The 21037-nt window shown below is 34.1% G+C and overlaps 1 protein-coding gene across 6 annotated transcripts in view; it reads left to right on the forward strand.

Annotated features, from left to right (window-relative positions):
- The window catches only part of TAX1BP1 (Tax1 binding protein 1), a 90395-nt gene that overhangs the window by 40054 nt on the left and 29304 nt on the right, over positions 1–21037 (forward strand). For all 6 annotated transcript variants that reach the window (NM_001206901.1, NM_006024.7, NM_001362794.2 and 3 more), the window contains 8 exons: positions 5737–5885; positions 5973–6063; positions 7992–8177; positions 12580–12804; positions 13640–13786; positions 14897–15020; positions 16690–16793; positions 20539–20664. In NM_001206901.1, coding sequence (NP_001193830.1) covers positions 5737–5885; positions 5973–6063; positions 7992–8177; positions 12580–12804; positions 13640–13786; positions 14897–15020; positions 16690–16793; positions 20539–20664 — 1152 coding nt within the window. The remainder of the gene's footprint in view (positions 1–5736; positions 5886–5972; positions 6064–7991; positions 8178–12579; positions 12805–13639; positions 13787–14896; positions 15021–16689; positions 16794–20538; positions 20665–21037) is intronic.

The following is a 21037-nucleotide window of genomic DNA, read 5'->3' on the forward strand; positions in this document are numbered from 1 at the left end:
ATAGCAGTGTTTGAACTAGCTTTGTAATTTCCCTATTTTTGGCTTTTAGTTGCTACATTTTCTCTTCAAGATTCAGATATTTAAAGTAATTTACAATAGTAGTTGAATTTGGGTATGATCAGTGATGCATATCTTATACTTTATTACATAGCCAATTTAATTTTTTGTCTTAATGGCAGTGTATCAGATGAGTTACTTGATTTGAATACTAGTCAGGGATAAATAATGAATTAGAGTGAAGACAAAGAAACCCAACAGTGTAAAGTTTTTGTTGTTCTTAATGTAACAGTCTATGTCATAAGTCATTGAAGTCTGGGGAGGGGATCGCAGATTTGCTTTGCATGATTATTCGGGGGCCTTGTTACCTTTTATATCATTCCACTGCCCACCCTTAGATTCCTAGAGAATTTATGTCTTCGTGATAGAAACTTGGTCACTGACATATCCTGGTTTCAGCTGGATGAAAGGGGAAAGAGATCTTAGACAAGGCATGATCAATAGTGTAAGTTATAGAGGTGGAAGTAATATATATCATTTCATTTATATTTAACTGATGATAATTTAGATGACTATAATGCATTGCAAGAGAAGCTGGGAATACAGTATAGTTGGGCAGTGATATGTAGTTACTATGGTTGAAAGGAGGTCATAATTTGGCAGACAACCAGCAGTCTCTGCCACAACACACAACACCAATATAGTAGTCTTTGAATTTAGCAGTTTGTGAATGAGATCTGGAAGTTATCTTTGGAGAGTATCTTATAACTTAATCTATTTATTAGTACCACTGTTAAGAAAGGTCATATCAAGAGTAGATAAAAATCAAATTACCAAAATTTCAGTACCTCAATTATTAAAATTTTCAGTTATTATTTTAGAAAACTTTTGTTTAAAGATATTGGAAAGTTGAAATCATTCTCAGTTCTTCCATTTACTAGCTGTGTAACCTTTGATAAACTACTTAACTTCTCTGTGGCTCACTTTTCTCATGTGAACGAGCCTTATAGTCGTTCCTAATTCTTAGGCCATGTGCTCATCAAATGAGAATGTATTATACATAAAGCACATAACATTTCCTACACAGTAGCTCTCAAGATAGCTGTTATTGTTATCATAGCATTAGGTACCTGGTTTTGGACAGAGGCAGTTTAAGGCATTTAGTATCTAATACATGGAATTGCCAAAAACCAGTTTTGAATTTATGATCTCATTGAATTTGTTTTTGTTTGTTTTTGCCAATTGTCATCAAGAAAAGATACAAAAGGCTTAATTTTAATACATGGGGTGATGATTATAACTTATGTATACATAGCAATATATTTCTTTCAAGCCAATTACTTTAATTTTGTACCTGCTTTACAAAGTAATAGTTTTAAGAAACTCATAATATATTATTTCTACAATATATTTATATACTTTTAAACCCATAATTTTTGTATTGATAAGTACAGAACTGTACAATGAAGCATTTTCATAGTTTATTTCATAAGACTACATCATTGAGTAGTTCCCATTCAATTTAATTAAAAGGTAATTTTAAGTAAAGTTATACTACCCTAAATTTTTTTACTTATTCCCTAACTCTTTAAAAATGTATATGAAACCTAATGTTAAAAAAAAATCACTAGTTTGTGGAATAAATTCATATTCAGGAAATAATTTAGACACTAATATATTTGTAGCCTGTCTCTCTTCCCCCTCCTCTCCACTCCAACCACAAAAATAGTGCTTGGATCTGTTATTTTCTGTAAAAGTTGAATTTAAGTACATTTGTTCATAGCAGATTTTTCAGTGAATTGAAGGTAGCCCTCACATTTTTTACTATAGTCATGCACCACTTGACAATGGGGATACGTTCTTAGAAATGTGTTGTTAGATGATTTCCTCTTTGTGCAAACATCATAGAGTGTACTTACACAAACCTAGATAGTATATCCTACTGCGCACCTAGGCTATATGGTATAACCTGTTGCTCCTAGGCTACAAACCTGTACAGCATGTTAGTGTACTGAATACTGTAGGCAGTTGTAACACATGGTAAATATTTGTGTATCTAAACATATCTAGATATCTTAGAAAAGGAAAGGTACAGTAAAAATATTGTATAAAATGTAAAATTTGTTATACCTGTATAGGGCATTTACCACAAATGGAGCTTGCAGGACTGACAGTGCTCTAGGTTATTCAGGGAGTGAGTAGTGAGTGAATGTGAAGGCCCAGGGCATTGCTGTACACTACTGTAGATTTTATAAATATTGTATACTTAGACTACACTAAATTAATTAATTAATTAATTTTTTTTTTTGAGACGGAGTCTTACTCTGTTGCCCAGGCTGGAGTACAGTGCAGTGGCGTGATCTCGGCTCACTGCAACCTCCAGCTCCTGGGTTCAGGTGATTCTTGTGCCTCAGCCTCCGGAGTAACTGGGATTACAGGTGCACGCCACCACACCTGGCTGATTTTTATGTTTTTAGTAGAGACAGGGTTTCACCATGTTGGCCAGGCTCTCGTACACCTGACCTCAGGTGATCTGCCCGCCTCGGCCTCCCAAAATGCTGTGATTACAGACATGAGCCACCGCACCTGGCCAGACTATACTAAATGTATAAAATATTTTTTTCTCCAAAAATAAATTAACCTTAGCTCACTGTAACATTTTCACTCTCTTTTTAAAAACTTTTTGATTCTTTTGAAATAACATTTAGCTCAAAACACAAACATGTACAGCTGTGCAAAAATATTCTTTCTTTGTATCCAAATTCCATAAGATTTTTCCATTTTAAAAACTTTTTGTTTTCTTTTCTTGTTTTATTTTATTTTATTTTTTTGAGATGGAGTCTTTCTCTGTCGCCCAGGCTGGAGTGCAGTGGCATAATCTAGGCTCATTGCAACCTCCACGTCGTGTGTTCAAGCAATTCTCCTGCTTGAGTAGCCTCTCAAGTAGCTGGGACTACAGGCACACACCACCACGCCCAGCTAATTTTTTTTTTCTTTGGTATTTTTAGTAGAGATGGGATTTCACCATGTTGGCCAGGCAGGTCTTGAACTACTGACCTCAGGTGACCCACCCACCTAGGCCCCCCAAAGTGCTGGGATTACAGATGTGAGCTGCCACACCGGCCAAATATTATATTTTTGTCTGGTGGATTTGTAGAAACCAGAGAAGATGTCTTTATAGTCTGTGTAGCTGTCATCATAACTTGGTATTATAGTTGATTTCAAAATTAGGTGTTTGAGAAAAGCCAGATTAAGTAAAATGAGTGATATTTGATTTAAAATCTGACTAGCAATTTTCATAAATAATTGTTTTGTCAATAATTTGTTATTTAAAGTGTTCAGGTGCTAGTTTACTAAATTTTACTCTGTGTATGTGTGAATCTAGAATACCATACCTTTTTTCTAGATAATTGTTAGTGATACTGTATCTGGTTTCTTCATATGCTTTTGTTTATAATCAGAATTTTATTTTTTAACATGAGAATAAATGTGCTCTGTTATTTTAAATACTTTTAAAATGTGTTTAGCCACCTAGATGAATGATTCATAATCTTTTTATCGGGTTATTCATAAGTGAGAGTTATGACTTGTGGGAATTGGTAATAGTGGCTCATGGAAACAGTGATTTTTTTAGTTTAGGAGTGGGAGGAAAGTCCCTGCATGAATCTGAAGTACTCAAATCTCTTTATCTCCCTTTGCCCCAATTTTTATGATTGTTTTCATATCGGCATACAATGTAGCAGGCTTAATTATCTGATGGAGGTTTTCTTTGTTTTAATATTAGAATTATGATGTCCTTTTGGCATGATTTACAAATGACTAAAAGTGTTTTAGAAAAATTGTCTTTTAGATTTTATCTTTTAAAGTTAATTTTTGAAAGCATGATTCCTAGTTGTTTGAAATGGCAAAGCTCTTAGCTTTTTCATGCTAAGAACGACGGAGCCACATTGAAGATGCTTATGCTTAACTCAGACGTGAAAACTACAGGCCTGAAGAATAATCCTTACTTTATCGTTTTCATGTGTTTTGAAAGGAGGCTTGTATGCTGGGAAGCTATCAGGTGCCTTTATGGGCACCAGAGAAAGTCTAAGACGCTTGTTGTAGTCAGAGTTAATTTATAATTCACTGTAAAGTTAACTGACTCAAAGCAATTAGTTCATGATTTACATTCAGTTGCTAGTGATTTTTTTCTCTTTTCCTATGCATTTTGTAGAATGCTGTATACCCGTTATAGGGCTTCATTACTTACAGGATTGGAAAGTAATTTTGTCCTAGGGAGAAATACTTGGGTTAAATCTGTAGTGTATTTGCAGTGCCAAGAGAGCACTGGTGGTAAAACTAAAAATAAAAAAAATGTGAACATTATTTAGAAACCTCTCTGGCCATCTTTATAAATCAACAAGACAAATCCTGAAAATGTGCCCAATTTCACAGCAATCATTATGATTGCAGAGGAAATAAATATTATTTGTTTTTTTCTCTGGTATTATGGCATTGGAACCAAAAAAGCATTTTGTACAACAGTTTTTGGTTAGTGTTACAAATTCAGTCAGACAAACATTTGCTTTGACCAAAAATAAGTCAATAGGGTGTATCTGACTTTTAGAAAATAATGTAGCAATGTTCATATTCTAGCAAGATATTTAAAATGATATTCTATCAAGAAAATACTTGGGTGAGTTCTTTTATGTGAATTAAAGTGAATTATAAATACTATATAATCTTTCATACTTTTAACTTGGCAGAACGGTGATTTTTTTAGTTTTTGTTGCTGGGTAGGTAAGTATTACTGTTTTGGGGAGAAATTTTAAAATTGTTCTTTAATAAAAATAATTTTATCTTAATTTACCAATTCTTTTATAATATAGTTTTCTATAACAAAGCACTTCCCTATATACACTGTTATATTTGAGTCTTATGAATTGTCCATTTAAAGTAGAATATTCCAAGTAGAAATTCAATTCAACATTCAATTTGTTGCACTTACTACCTCTTTTATATTTGTCTTAGTGTCTTTGAATATTTGTTTAGGCCTCTGAGTCACACTGGCAAGAAGATTAGGAACATGGCTTTAGGCATATGTTAGTGCTTTGATGGCAGTTAGTGACCTGTGCTAGAAAAAGTGGGTGTTAACCTTGATGGTGTCGTGTAAGACTTGATATGTCGTGACTAATTTTTAAAATTTTTTTCTCATTTTTCTTGCCTGCCCCCTGGTGGAGAAAAGTTAGTAAAATCAACATACAGGGTACATGAAAAGTCTGAAGGTGGGGGGAAAATGTATATAAATAAACGAATCATTGCTCATGCCTGTAGTCCCAGCACTTTTGGAGGCCGAGGCAGGAGGATTGTTTGAGCCCAGGAGTTTCAGCCTGGGTGACATGGCAAAACCCTGTCTCTATTAAAAAAAAAATTAGCCAGGCGTGGTGGTGGGTGCCTGTAGTCCCAACTACCTGGGAGGCTGAGGTGGGAGGATCACCTGAGCTGTGATTGTGCCACCATACTGCAGCCTGAGTGACAAAGTGAGACCCCAAACAAAAAACAAATTATCGATTAATTTAGTATATGAAAATTTAAATATATGTTATCATTTCAAGTTTTATAGTCTTAGCTTCTCAAATTTGGAGGGAACAAATGTGGGATTAAAATTCTAAGAATACATAGTTTTCTTAAAGATATGCAAATTTGCTTTACTGATTATGTTTCTGTGTTTTCTCAAAATACCTTGTTGTCACTTCTCAGGGTCTTACTGAAGTAACACAAAGCTTAAAAATGGAAAATGAAGAGTTTAAGAAGAGGTTCAGTGATGCTACATCCAAAGCCCATCAGCTTGAGGAAGATATTGTGTCAGTAACACATAAAGCAATTGAAAAAGAAACCGAATTAGACAGGTATTTCTCATGCTTTTAAAAAATAAATTCAATAAAAATTTTAAAACTTTAAAACATTATAATGTTACTTTATCATACCTATCTTAGTTTAAAGGACAAACTCAAGAAGGCACAACATGAAAGAGAACAACTTGAATGTCAGTTGAAGACAGAGAAGGATGAAAAGGAACTTTATAAGGTAATTTATTTTTTACCATATCTATTGCCTGTTGCTTCAAAAGAAATGACCCCAGAACTTAGGGGCTGTAGGTCAGCAATTTAGGAGCAGCTTAGCTGAGTGGTTCTGGCTCTAGCCTCTTGTGTAGTTGCAGTCAGGATGTTGGCAAGGGGTGCAGTCAGCTAAGGGCTTGATTGGGACTGGAGGGTTTGCTTTCAAGATGGCTTACTCCAGTGGCTTTTGGCAGGAGAACCTTCAGCTCCTCTTGAAGTGGTCTTTTCATAGGCTGCTTGAATATCCTCACAGCATGGCAGCTAGCTTCTCTCAGAGTGAGTGATCCAGGAGAGAGCAAGGAGGAAGTCACAGTCATGTTGTATATCACCCCTAAAAGTTAGTTTTCAGGGAATTAATTTGCTGCTGTTTTAGATACTTAACAGGTAGTGTGTAATAAGTTGAAGAGGTTTAATGGAATTAAGATACTTGTTTATCACAATTCATGTAACTATTTTTCCTTTTTAAGAACATATATATATATACACATTGGGGAGAACATTAATTTAGTAATAATCCCATTTTAGAGTTTGACTTTTAGAATATCTTCAGAGATGTCATTTTGTAAAAATATCCTCACTGCTAACAAATCTTGACCGCTTGAAGTTTTGAATTTTTTTTTTTTTTTTTGAGATGGAGTCTCGCTCTGTCGCCCAGGCTGAAGTGCAGTGGTGCGATCTCGGCCCACTGCAAGCTCTGCCTCTCGGGTTCACGCCATTCTCCTGCCTCAGCCTCCCGAGGACCTGGGACTACAGGTGCCCGCGACCACGTCCGGCTAATTTTTTGTATTTTTTTAGTAGAGACGAGGTTTCACCATGTTAGCCAGGATGGTCTCGATCTCCTGACCCGCCTCAGCCTCCCAAAGTGCTGGGATTACAGGCGTGAGCCGCCGTGCCTGGCAGTTTTTATTTATTTATTTTTTTAAGCAACCCTGAAATATAGGGTAGTTAGCTTAATTGTCAGTAATGCTGTGGGTGCAAATTGAGACTTATTTTTTTAAGTGGCTCATAAGCATTTCCTGAAGGCAATTCCAGATGAGGAATTTCAAGAACATTCTGAGTTAAGTCCGTTTCTTGTTAAGTCAATTTAATGAGCTGATGATTATGAACATCAGGTAGCGTTTTAAAGTGATGCTGCAAGGGTGTTGGTTGCTGATGTCTTCAGAGAATCAGGAGTTAATATTCTATCCTTGTGAACAGGAATTAGTCCTTCAGCATTCTGTATATTTAAAGAGTAAAGTGCAAGAAGTAAGTTAATTCATTTCTCCTCAGTACTCTTAACGAAAGCAGGATATACTTGATAGTGTACACTACAGGTCTGTATTTATAATTCCAGTTATTGAATTTGATTTGTATGTGTGTTAGGAGCAAATCAGCAATAGCGAGAGTCATGGGAAAATCAATATAGTTGGGTTAGTCAACAAATACATTTTTCAGCACATTGAAACTAAATGATATCGTACTTTTCGCCTGCAGAAAATGGAATTGTTTGAGATGTTGTTTTTGAATGCACCCCTTCTAGTTTTCCAGAGTCTTGTCGTGCCAGATTTGAATATGCCAAATAACATAATTTGTTTCCCCAAAAGAACAACCAAATCTATTTGCATTTTTAAAGAGAACCTGAAACCATTAAATCAAAGGAAAAGACTTTAGAGATCAGGTGATGTTGTTAGGGCTTAGAATAATCTCTCTGGAAAATAAAAAAGCTTAGAAAAGCTGTGTTCTGCTCCTGCATGCTTAACTAGTCATTTGGCAGAACCTGGGTCTCCTAAATCCTAGTCTAGTATGTCTTTCCTTCCTTTCGTTGTCTTTGGGTTAGAAATATAATGGTATTTTAAACTTTGACTAACTTAGGTCATGGAGTTAGAATATTCTTGACATTTTCAAACACCATTACAGGTACATTTGAAGAATACAGAAATAGAAAATACCAAGCTTATGTCAGAGGTCCAGACTTTAAAAAATTTAGATGGGAACAAAGAAAGCGTGATTACTCATTTCAAAGAAGAGATTGGCAGGCTGCAGTTATGTTTGGCTGAAAAGGAAAATCTGCAAAGAACTTTCCTGCTTACAACCTCAAGTAAAGTAAGTACTTTTGCTATATATATTTGAAGATTGTAAAACATACCTATGAAATGTATGCAATATGATTTTCATTTTTAATTCCCCCAAGCTTTTGTTCTAAAAAAGTTCAAACTTACAAAACAGTTGGAAGAACAGAACAATGAATACTGATGTACCCTAAAATATTTTGCCATTCTTTGTTTTATCTCCCTCATTTATATGCCTTTTTTTCTGAGCGATGTGAGTTGCAAGTATTACGATAATTTACTCTAAATACTTTAGCATGTCTCCCTTATGAACAAGTGCATTCTTCTTCATAGCCATGACACCGTTATTACACCTAAGAATTTAGCACTGATTGAATAACAGTCATTCTCATAGTTAGTTCACAATCACATTGCCCCAAATGTATTCTTATATAATCTTTAAAATTTTGTGATTCACAGTTAGTCAAAGACTACATATTATTTTGATTGTTGTATTTTGAGTCGGTTTCAGTCTAGAATAGTGTCCCTACACTTTTTATGACATTGATATTTTTGGAGAAGACAGGCTAGTCTGAGAAAATGTTCTATAATCTGGATTTGTCTGTTGTTTCTCATGACTAGATTCAGGTGAGACATTTTTGCAAGAAAAGACATAGATGATGTTTTGTCCATCCTGTTGGAGTCATATCAAAAGTTATATAATGTCAATTTGTTTCGTTCTTGATAATGTTAGGTTTAATAATTTGTTTAAAGTTATGCCTACCTGTCTCTATATAGGTGCCTTTCTTTTCTTTCCCTGTTTGTGATTATTAAGCAATCTGTATAAACACCCTGTTCTCCAACAGCCTTTCCTCAATGTTTTTATTGTCCTTTGATGCTCCTCACCTGCATCAGCTATTATGTTGGTAATAATTAATGATAGAAAAATGGTGATTTAAAAAATTCTATTATGCCTTCTACATTTATTTGTAGGTAATCTTTTATCATGAGGACATTCCTGTCACCCTTCCCTCTTTTTTAAATATAACTTTGGACTTACTGATTTTTTGCTGCATATTATGCATAATCATCATTATTCTTTTTCATACCCAAATTGTTCTGAATTTAACCAGGGGAACCTTTTCAAGCCTGCTTTTTTGTCCTGATATGTTCCTATAATGCTTTGAATACTTTCTTGCTTTATGGCACAACTGTATGTTCTAACTTCAGGTTGTTCCCCCAGACCTGATATTACCATTTCTCCAAGAAACTCTGTTTTTTTTAGTAGGTAATGGTATTTTGAAACCAAGAACTGGATCCTATTGCTACTATGGGGCTGCTGCTTTGCACATTCAGTGGGTATTTTGCATCTTTAATTTATATTGATAGCTCCAATTCAGATTTAGTACCTTAGGATTCTTCCTTCCTTTGCTCCATTCCATATTTATATCTCTCTTCTCGCAATGTGAGAACTCTTGTTTCCCAAACATCATTATTACTCATGTGTTTCCATCCAGCCGTACACACCAGTGTTTTCACAATTATTACATCAATGCCACTTCCAACAATAAATGTACTAAATAAAGCTAAGGTATTTTTACAGCTCTTTTTTCTTAGAATATGTTTCACTAAGGATGTATAGAAACGCCATGTTCAAAAGTTACTTGAACTATTTTTTTGCATACCTATGTTATAAATTTGTAATATAATTTCATTTGCTTGTATTTAATTTTAATATTTGCTTTTATTCTTCTGTTTGATTTATTTTTATTGTTTGAATATGTAAAACAGTTGCTTTGTTCAGAAGTCAAAATGATAGAAAAATTTTACTCTGAGGTCTCAATCTCTTCCTTGTTTTTTTAAACCCTTTTCTTACCTATGCCCATAGATAAACATTTTCATAAGTTTCTAGTTTATTCTTATGTTTCTTTTTGTAAAAATAAGCTTATATATGCATGTGTACATGTACATACATCCTTCTTTATCCTCTTCGTTCTTAAAAAAGGTAGCGCTACTATACATACCATTTTGCACCTTTTTCTCACTGAACAAAATAAGTTGCTAGTTACTCCATATCAGTTTGTAGAGATCTTCCTCATTTGAAAAAAATGGCCACATAATATTCCATTATATAGATTTACCTTGATTGATTCATTATTTCTTATGATGTTATTTTTAGTAATTTGCTATTAAAAATACTCAGACATAGTTAATGTAATACCTAAAACGTCAGAAGCGCATGACATTTAGAATTAATGGTTAATCCTTGTTACTTTTTAATGTAACAGATTGCCAGTGCAAACATGAGAAGTGTATTTGATTATTTGTTATTTAATAAGATGCTAAAAATTTCTCTAAGCATCTTTTTCCTATTTAAGCAAGACTTCTGTGAGGAAAAGCGTAGTTATGGAAGTACCTGAGAAAAATGACTACTAGTTGCTAAAGCTTTTAAAAGATTGTGAAAGTAGTTTGAGGTGATGGTTATAAAAAAATTTAAACAGTACATGAGGATACAAAGTAAAATGTAATCCTCATCCCTTCTCAGATAAGTAAGTTATTATTGAATTTATGAATATACGTATATTTATATTTTAACACAAATTAGAATTTATACATTTTTTCCTTTTAAAAAAATTTATAAATGGATATCTTGCACTATGATACACATGTGGATCTTTTTCATTCATCATAACAACTGCCTAGTATTTCTTCTCTTCATTTAACAACTGTGTAGTATATGTTTTTTGATTGTTTTTGATTGTTTATAGTCTTCAGCTTTTATAAGCATCCTGCAGTAAACATCCTTATAGCAATATGTAGGCACATTTATAATCCGTAGAATAAGTTCTTTCAAGTGGAATTACTGGGTCAATGAGTATTTAAATTTTGATAGTTATTTTCAAATTACCTTTCAAAAAAATGTTCTATTGATTTTTTTATTCCCACCAAGAGTATATGAGATATGTATTGTTTGTAATGTCTGCACAGACTTTGATTATATAGAGGTAGTATATCATAGTTTATCATAAATTCTCATGTTGGTAGACATTTTAGGTTCTTAATGATTTTTCATTATTTTAGTATTTTATTGAATCCTTGTAAAGCTAAACCTATGTCTATACCCTTTGATAATTTTCTTGGAAACTTATGGAAATAAAATTGCTAGATCAAAAGCTGTGAGAATTTTTAAGGTGCTGATGAATGTTGTAAATATCTGATGAGAAAAGATGCCAGTTACAGTTTATATAAGCCCACCTGTTTGTGAATGTGCCAGTTGCCCTAAACCCATGCAAATATTGGAATGTTACTGTTTTTTTGATCTTTGTTAGTTTGAAAGGTGAATGGCATTTGTTTTAACTTATTTGTTTGATTGTTGGTGAGTTGAATTTTTTTACTGCATAATCGCATTTATTTCTTTAGAAAATTTTGTATGTTCATGACTTTTGACTTTTGTTTTGTTTCTCCTTATTGACTAGAAAAGTTATTTATATCAAGTATTATTATACCTTTCTTGAATATATTACATATAATTTTCTTCTAGTTCTTTTTCTTCTCCTTTGACATATAGAAGTTGGCGATCTTTTTATAGGTAGATCTATTAGTGTGATGCCTCCGAAGATTTTGTCCATGCCAACACTGCATAAAATCATCATTTACATTTCCTTCTAAGGGGCTAACAGTTTAGAAACCAATATTGGGTTGCATTTTTTTCCTGATTTTACATTATTTTTAGTACAGAGATTAAAAACAGGAAGTTGAATAAACTAAATTTATTGTGTTTATAATGTTTAAATGTTATAATGTTTAAACATTAATATTAAAGGAAATAATTTCACCATGGCAATTTTAGCTTTTTAAAGATACTTTTAGGTTTGTCAAGCAGTATGAATTACTTTTCATTTTCCCAATGCCTCGTCTTTACTATTTGTATATCAATATTTTGTTTTTAGAACTAAGGCCTAAATCTGTTCTGTGTTTTTATAATGATATGAAATAGATTTATATTATATTGGATGTCTCTTGGGGTAGAAAGTAGGAAACATCTTTTAACCAAAATTTTTGGTGTTACAAAGAAGCTTTCGGAATGATTTTTACTGGTAGTCATACAAAATGAGGGTCAGTATTTCTAGCTGAAGAGATTCTGGGGGATGGGATCTTTTGTTTGAGCCTCAGTTTGGGCAGGTCCTTAAGCACTGGGTATGTTGCCTGACTCGCTGTACTTTAGCTTCCTTGTGTATAAAGTAGTAGCAGTGAAACCAAGTACATAGGGTTGTTATAGAGGGAACCTAAAACAAAGTTACTTCTTAAGTTTTTTGTAGGCATATACTCTGTAAGTCATGAGTAGAAAAACCAATATCTAAAATTTTGGCCCTGTTGAAATATGTGCGAAAATTGTTTCTGCTTCTGTTTTTTACTTGAGTGGTTGAATTACAAATATATTTATCTGCTTTCTTCAGGAAGATACTTGTTTTTTAAAGGAGCAACTTCGTAAAGCAGAGGAACAGGTTCAGGCAACTCGGCAAGAAGTTGTCTTTCTGGCTAAAGAACTCAGTGATGCTGTCAACGTACGAGACAGAACGATGGCAGACCTGCATACTGCACGCTTGGAAAACGAGAAAGTGAAAAAGCAGTTAGCTGATGCAGTGGCAGAACTTAAACTAAATGCTATGAAAAAAGATCAGGTAAAACAAGTTAATTTTGAATTTGCATTTTGATTTAAGAAACCACTATAATCTCACAAAGTAGTAAATTGTGTTAAGATAAGACAGGTCAGATTTCTGCCTTATTTTAAATTTAAAATTTTCATTCCTTTTGTTTAGTCATTGTGACTTCTTGGCTTACAGTTAATGTGTGCTGTAAGGAAAACTTCTGTAAGCAGAATTCTTAATGGTTGGTGAAAGCTGCCCTATTGATTAAATATATTGATGTCAGATATGTATTGTTTTGTTTGGAATTTCTTACTAGCTGTATAAAACAGTATTATGGTTGTTTAAGGGAGTAATAATTGCTCTTCAGGAGGTGGATTATTTTTCTCTAGTTTTTTAAATGAACCTTAGTCCTAAGAATGTAAAACTGGACTTAACAAGAGACCCTATGTTGCTCTGTAGCCAAAATCCCAAAATAAAAAAGTGGCCGGGGACAGTTGCTCACACCTATAACCTCAGCACTTTGGGGGGCTGAGGTGGGAAGATCGCTTGATCCCAGGAATTCAAGACCAGCCCGGGCAACATAGTGAGACCTCATCTCTACAAAAATTTTCAAAAATTACCCAGGTGTGGTGGTGTGCAGCTGTAGTCCCAGCTAGTCCAAAGGCTGAGACAAGAGGATTGCTTGAGCCAGGAGGTCAAGGCTGCAGTGAGCCATAATTGGGCCACTGTGTTTCAGCCTGGGTGACAGAGCAAGACTCTGTCTCAAAAACAAAAAAAAGAAAAAAAGTAAGATTGAAGTTGGGGTTACTATTAACATTAGGAGGTATCAGATTTTTATTTTTTTCTTCAAATGTTTGTTTCTTTCTAGGACAAGACTGATACACTGGAACACGAACTAAGAAGAGAAGTTGAAGATCTGAAACTCCGTCTTCAGATGGCTGCAGACCATTATAAAGAAAAATTTAAGGAATGCCAAAGGCTCCAAAAACAAATAAACAAACTTTCAGATCAATCAGTAAGTATCATTAAATTTACACATAGTAAAATGTGTTGTTAGTATTTTTGTTCGAAAATCAAATTTGTAATATTCCAAATATCAACCTTTTAAATATTATTTATCTCTGCTTGATTTCAAGTCATTGGCCAAATATTGTAATAACTCTTCTTTAAAAAAGTCTGGAATTTTAATTTACTGGACAGCCAACAAAGGAAGCAAGGGCAGTAGCAAGGAAAAAACAGAAAAAAGTCTTCTTTTCTAGATAATTTCCCTCTTAAGTTCTTGATAAATATCTGTCACTCAAAACTCAATACTTATTATTGACTCTTGTGACCATGACATCTATCCTCATTGGAGTTCACCATTAATCATCCCTAGGTCTTAGATGGTGTCTCAGTTGTAATTGGCAAGTTCTTCATACTCATATTATGAAGATTCCTATTCCTATTAGATTAGGAACAGTTAAAGAGTGTTAGCTAATTCTTTTTTATTCCATTTGAGAATAGGTAGGTAGATTTGTAATATACCAAAGAAGATGTTTTTGTTTTGAGGTATGTATGTTTCAATGTGGGTCCTTAAACTGTGCTTAAATACAAGGCTTACTATCTGAGGAACTCCTGGAAATGTAGAAGAAACATATTTAAAACCTGAAATTGAAAGTGGTACTATAGCTCTCTTTTACTATGTGATGCATATGATACTTTCCTGGTCCTACTTTTTTAAATCAGAGGAGACAAGCAAGGAATGCATGTAGTAAAGTAGGAAGGCTTTTGTGAAAAAATATGATACTTTAAGTATGACTCACTCACATGTATGAATTTGGCCTGGGGCCTTTTGAGTACGTTATAACTTTGTAGTAGATTTCTGTGAATGACTTATTTTGGTGGTCTTTTGATGAGTTTATAAGAAAAAGCAAAATATAGTATATTTCTTTTGCAACATTTAGGTCAGTTAGCAAAATGATGTGTATAACTTTAGTCTTTGTTGGCTTTTAAAACAAGAGCAGCTTTGTGGACTTCTTAGGATTTCCTAAAGTAATATGTAAAAATATTATTTACTTAGTTACTGCAAGGAGGAAATATAACTAATTCATTGACTCATTTAACAACTTATTAACATTTTGAATAGGCTAATAATAATAATGTCTTCACAAAGAAAACGGGGAATCAGCAGAAAGTGAATGATGCTTCAGTAAACACAGACCCAGCCACTTCTGCCTCTACTGTAGATGTAAAGCCATCACCTTCTGCAGGTAAAAATCTTTTAGACTTTTTGTGTAGGGTGTCCTACATTGAAAAGTACTTATACTGCCTTCTTCCATGTGTTAGAATTTCAGGATGTTCATAAAAATTTTCATGTGATAAGTGAAGGAATTGAGGCAACAAGAAAATAAGGGTATAAATGTAAAATAGAGTCATGCAAGTGGTGAATATACACAACATGAACATATAAAATGTGAATGTAAACTAGTAGTTATCTTCTTGAGACTATTCACACATGTTAAAAATGAGCTGGTGCTTGTGAGTACTCATTTGGGCTACATAGGACAAAAGCCACGAATTGAATTTTTACTTTATGTTCCATTAAATCTATGGAATTTTGAAGCATTTTATTTGTGGATTTTAATTTTTAAATTCTGCAGGGGAAAAAATCCCCTATTATTCTCATATTTTTCTATTTATTCATTTATTTTTGGCTGCTTTGGATCAATGGGGGTACTTCTTCCCTTGTCAATGTACCTGTTGGCTGATGAGTTAAGTTTTTATTAGTTTATTAACTTATAGAACAGAATAGAGAGACATAGTGAGAACATTAATAACATGAAAACTTGGATTAACTAGGTTTTCATCTGTCCTGATTTTTTCACTTTTATGTAAATTTGACAGTAATGACGTTAAATACTAGAGAAAGTATATTTTCTTGTTTAGTGTGTGTAGTAATTGATCTTTTAAGTCTTTTTAAATGTAAACATCTTAGACTATTAAATATTAGGTTTATCCCCTGTAGGACAGAATTGAGCCTTCTGTTTCCATGTATCCTCTGTAGTACCTAAAATGGTGTTATAGGGTATTTACTTAATAAAGACTTAGTGGTAATGAAGGGCTAGAAGAATGATTTAAAATGTGTTCTTGGTGGGGTATGGTGGCATGCGCTTGTACTCCTAGCTACTCTGGAAGCTGTGGCAAGAGGATCACTTGAGCTCAAGAGTTTGAGGCTAGCCTGGGCAACATAGTGAGACCCTGGCTTTCAGAGAGGGGAAAGAGAATTCTCAGAGTATGGTTTTCCTACTTACCCTGTCTATTCAGTTATATAAGGAGAACAATTTTTGTGCTGTTATGGAACTCTTTTTAGCAAATTTTGTTTTGTTTTGTTTTTGAGACAGAGTCTCACTCTGTCCCCCAGGCTGGAGTGCAGTGGCGTGATCTCAGCTCCCTGCAGCCTCTGCCTTCTGGGTTCAAGCAATTCTCCTGCCTCAGCCTCCTGAGTAGCTGGGACTACAGGTGTGTGTCACCACGCCTGGCTAATTTTTTGTATTTTTAGTAGAGACAGGATTTCACCGTGTTAGCCAGGATGGTCTCGATCTCCTGCCTCGGCCTCGACCCGCCTTGGCCTCCCAAAGTGCTGGGATTACAGGCATGAGCCACCGTGCCCGGCCGCTTTTTAGCAAATTTTTAAAAAATCAAAGAATAATCCTTTATTATTGAATGCGAACTTGGTTCTGGCCAAACACACATTTAACAATTCTCAACTAGAGTTTATATATCCTTCTTTGTATATCTAGGATATGAATAGATATTTCTGTCCTTCAGCATTCCATTTACTATATTTTACAGTATACTGACCTTTAAGTTATTCTGAACAGGAAGATAATATAAGGGGCAAAATACTTTTTAACAGTCTTATATTCTGCCTTTCTACAGCAGAGGCAGATTTTGACATAGTAACAAAGGGGCAAGTCTGTGAAATGACCAAAGAAATTGCTGACAAAACAGAAAAGTATAATAAATGTAAACAACTCTTGCAGGTAAGTTAACTACCTTGTAAGTGAAAGAGATTTATAAAATGTTAATGACTTAGCTTACCTTTATTGTTTCAATTGATTGGTATCTTTGAGTTTCTTTTCCATCTCCATATAGTGTTACTTAGTTTCACTTTGGCTTTTGGGATGATGAGGTGGGCGTTTTGTGTACCTGTTCACATAGGCGTGTGTGTAGCATCATGAGACCTAAAGTTACTATTTTCTTTTCACCTAATAAAATGTTCTTGTTTGGGTAATGGGCAAATAGTTAATTGAGGTTAGAAATTATCTGTCATCGTATAAAGATGCATGAAAAATATTTGAACTTCATAAAAGGGAAGTGCTGTTTTTAAATTTACTATTATCGGCCAGGTGCGGTGGCTCACGCCTGTAATCCCAGCACCTTGGGAGGTCGACGTGGGTGGATCGCTTGAGGCCAGGAGTTCGAGACCAGTCTGGCCAACATGGTGAAACCCTGTCTGTACTAAAAATACAAAAATTAGCCAGGCTGTGGTGGAGCATGCCTGTAGTCCCAGCTACAGTCTCCTGAGGCAGGAGAATCACTTGAACCCGGGAGGCGGAGGTTGCAGTGAGCCGAGTTTGCACACTGTACTCCAGCCTAGGCAACAGAGCGAGTCTCTAAAAAAAAATAATAAATAAAATAAATTACTATTATAATAGCAAAGATTTTTACATCTTAAAGTGACTAGACTTGCATAGTGGAAAAGGGAATGTTAACCAAATGAATTGTCTCTTACGGTGTTTATTTTGATTATTATTATTTTATTTTATTTTTTTTTTTGATACGGAGTCTCACTCTCTCGCTCAGGCTGGATTGCAGTGGCGTGATCTCAGCTCACTGCAATCTCCGCCTCCTGGGTTCATGCCATTCTCCTGCCTCAGCCTCCCAAGTAGCTGAGACTACAGGCGCCTGCCACCACACCCAGCTAATTTTTTGTATTTTTAGTAGAGGCGGGGTTTCACGATGTTAGCTAGGATGGTCTCTATCTCCTGACCTCGTGATCCACTCGCCTCGGCCTGTCAAAGTGCTGGGATTACAGGCATGAGCCACCGCGCCCGGCCTATTTTGATTATTTTAAACAGCTTCATTCAGACTTTTCTGGTTTGCAGCCTTCTTGGTGTAGTATTCAGTACTGGAATATTTAAAGGAAAAGGGAAAATGCTTCTCATTTATATCAATTTGGCATAGAGAGGAAAAAGTGTTGTTTGTGCAAGTGATTTTTGTTTGTTTTTTTAAATGTGCTTTGTGTGTTTTTGTGTGCATTGGGGAGGGGAGGGGCATTTTTTAGAGCTATAGAATAAAATTTACACATTAGCTTCATGTTACTGTAATTTAATTTACAGTAATTATTTAAAATATTTTGTTGCTTATAAATAGCAAAATCTTTTAACCAAAGTTAAAATGAATTTTTTTTTTTGCTTGAGAGAATCCTGTGGAAGGGTTGATTAGAACAGTTTTACTCTTGAATTCAGGGTAGTTTTTTGTAAGAGTGAACTACATTTTCGTTAAAGATGAAACAATTCTGGATGAATATTTCAAGATTTTTCTATAGAAATAGTATTGAAAGGAAGATAGAATAATGTTCAAGCAAAAACCTTCCTCAGGGTGCTTTTTTTTTTTTTTAAACAACCATATTGAGGTATAATTGAAATCCAATGAATTGCACGTACCTAGAGTATACAGTTGGATCAGTTTTGACATACACAGTTGTGAAACTATCACCACAGTGCCATCACTCTCCCAGTTTTTTTGGTACCTGTTTGCAACACATCCCTTTCGTTATCCTTATCTCTAGGAAATTATTGGCCTGCTTTCTGTCACTATCAATTAGCCTACCTTTTAGACAATTTTATAAAATGGAGTCATGTAATATGTACTTTTTTCTACCCACTTTCAGCATGATTATTTGAGATTTATTCATATTATTGCATATATTTATTCCTTTTTTATTTTATCATTTGTTTATCCATTCACCACTTGATGGGTAGTTGGGGTTGTTTTTCGGCTGGTACAAATAAAGCTGCTTATGAACATTTGTTTAGAAGTTGTTTATGGACATATGTTTTTTTTTGTTTCTTTTGGGTAAATATCTAGGGGTGAATTGCCTGGGTGATATTGTAGTTGAATAACTCTGTAAGAAATTACCTCCTGGGTGCAGTGGCTCATGTCTGTAATCCCAGCACTTTGGGAGGCCGAGGTGGGAGCATCACTTGAGGTCAGGAGTTTGTGACCAGCCTGGCTAATATGGTGAAACCCTTTCTCTACTAAAAATACAAAAATTAGCTGGGCATGGTGGTACACTCCTGTAATCCCAGCTACATGGGAGGCTGGGGCAGGAGAATCGCTTGAACCCGGGAGGTGGAGGTCGCAGTGAGCCAAGACTGCACCACTGCACTCCAGCCTGGGTGACAGAGTGAGACTCTGTCTCAAAAAAAAAAAAAAAAAAGAAATTACCAAACTGTTTTGTAAGGTGTTTGTACCATCTTACATAGCCAGCCTAATGGGTGTGTACTGATAGCTCATTGTGGTTTTAATGTGCATTTGTATAATGACTTGATGTTGAGCATCTTTTCTTATGCTTATTTGCTCTTTATCTCTTTGTGTGAGTGGTCGAATCTTTTTGGTAGTTTAAATATAGGGTTGTTCATCTTGAGTTGTGTTTTTTTTTTTTCTGTATATGTCTTTTGTCTGATATATGTAAGGTGAATATTTTCTCCAAGTCTGTAGCTTGCCTTTTCATTTCCTTAATGATGTTTTTAGAAAAGCAAAATTTAAATTTTGATAAAGTACAGTTTATCAGTTCATTTATGTTTTATGCTTTTTACCTTCTAAGGAATGTTTGCCTAATCCAAGGAGATAAAGATTTTCTCCTGTGTTGTCTTCTAGAAGTTTTATAATCAGCTTTTCTATTTAGGTCTGTGAATCATTTTGAGTTAATTTTTGTGTATAATATGGAATGTATGGTATGGATATTAAACTGACCTAGCGTTATTTGTTTAAAAGATTTTCCTCTCCATTGAATTGCTCAAAGTATATTTTTAAGCGTTCACATTGAACAAAATGTTCCAAATGGAATTGGCCTAATTACCTTTTTGTCATGATTTGTAAGTCCTCCTTTAAGATAATCTGGGTTGTAGAGAAGAGCAATGTATAAGAAGTCAACCTAAAAATTATCTTGGTCAGCAAATCCTAGAGTTTATCACTGCATGGAAACAACAGCATTATAAATATGACTTTATTTCCTCCCTTTGCAAAAGTAATATATACTTATTGTGAAATGTTGTAGTGTTCCAGAAATGAAGAGTAGAGATGGCAAAAATTACCTCTATCATTCTGATCCCCTGAGATAAGAACTATTAATATTTTGGTTTATATTTTTGTATACAACACAAACATATAGATATTGTATTATAACTGTGTAAAACAACTTATAAACAAAAATGGATTATATATTCTATTTTAGCAACTTGCTATTTTCAATTAATGTATCTTAACATTTTTTCTTGTCAATTTGTACATCTGCCTTATTTAAAAATATATATACTATTTCATTGTGTGGATAGAAAATGATTTATCCAATTGTCTATTAATAGACATTTGATTATTCCAATTTTTATGCTGTTACAACAGTGTTATAATAAATGTTCAGCCCATATCTAAGTACATTAGTATAGATTTTCACTCTACATGAATTTAAAATCTTTTGGTAATTATACTAATTTCATTTAGGATGAGAAAGCAAAATGCAATAAATATGCTGATGAACTTGCAAAAATGGAGCTGAAATGGAAAGAACAAGTGAAAATTGCTGAAAATGTAAAACTTGAACTAGCTGAAGTACAGGACAATTATAAAGTAAGTTTGGTACTCCTTGTATGTAAACTTAAGGCATAAACTTCTGAAAATTAGTTATGTATAATTTTATTCAATCTAATGTACATTTTAAATATGGATAATTGATAGTTTTTTCTACAAATAAAAATGTACTATATATTTAGTTACATAAATACTGTTCATTAACTTTGAATTGAGAAAATGGATACCATTTGCATTGCTATTGTGGCTTTAATTCTGTGGGTTCAGATGGCTATTAAAATTACATCTTTTAATTGTGTTTATTTTTAAAGTTGAAAAGTGATCATTATCCTCCTGTTCATTTTGAAACAAACATGAATGCATATGTAAAATTATTTTAGGATGGCTGGGCATGGTGACCCACTCCTGTAAT

The sequence above is a fragment of the Homo sapiens genome, chromosome 7, assembly GCF_000001405.40.
Source record: "Homo sapiens chromosome 7, GRCh38.p14 Primary Assembly".
In the NCBI taxonomy this organism is placed as follows: domain Eukaryota; kingdom Metazoa; phylum Chordata; class Mammalia; order Primates; family Hominidae; genus Homo; species Homo sapiens.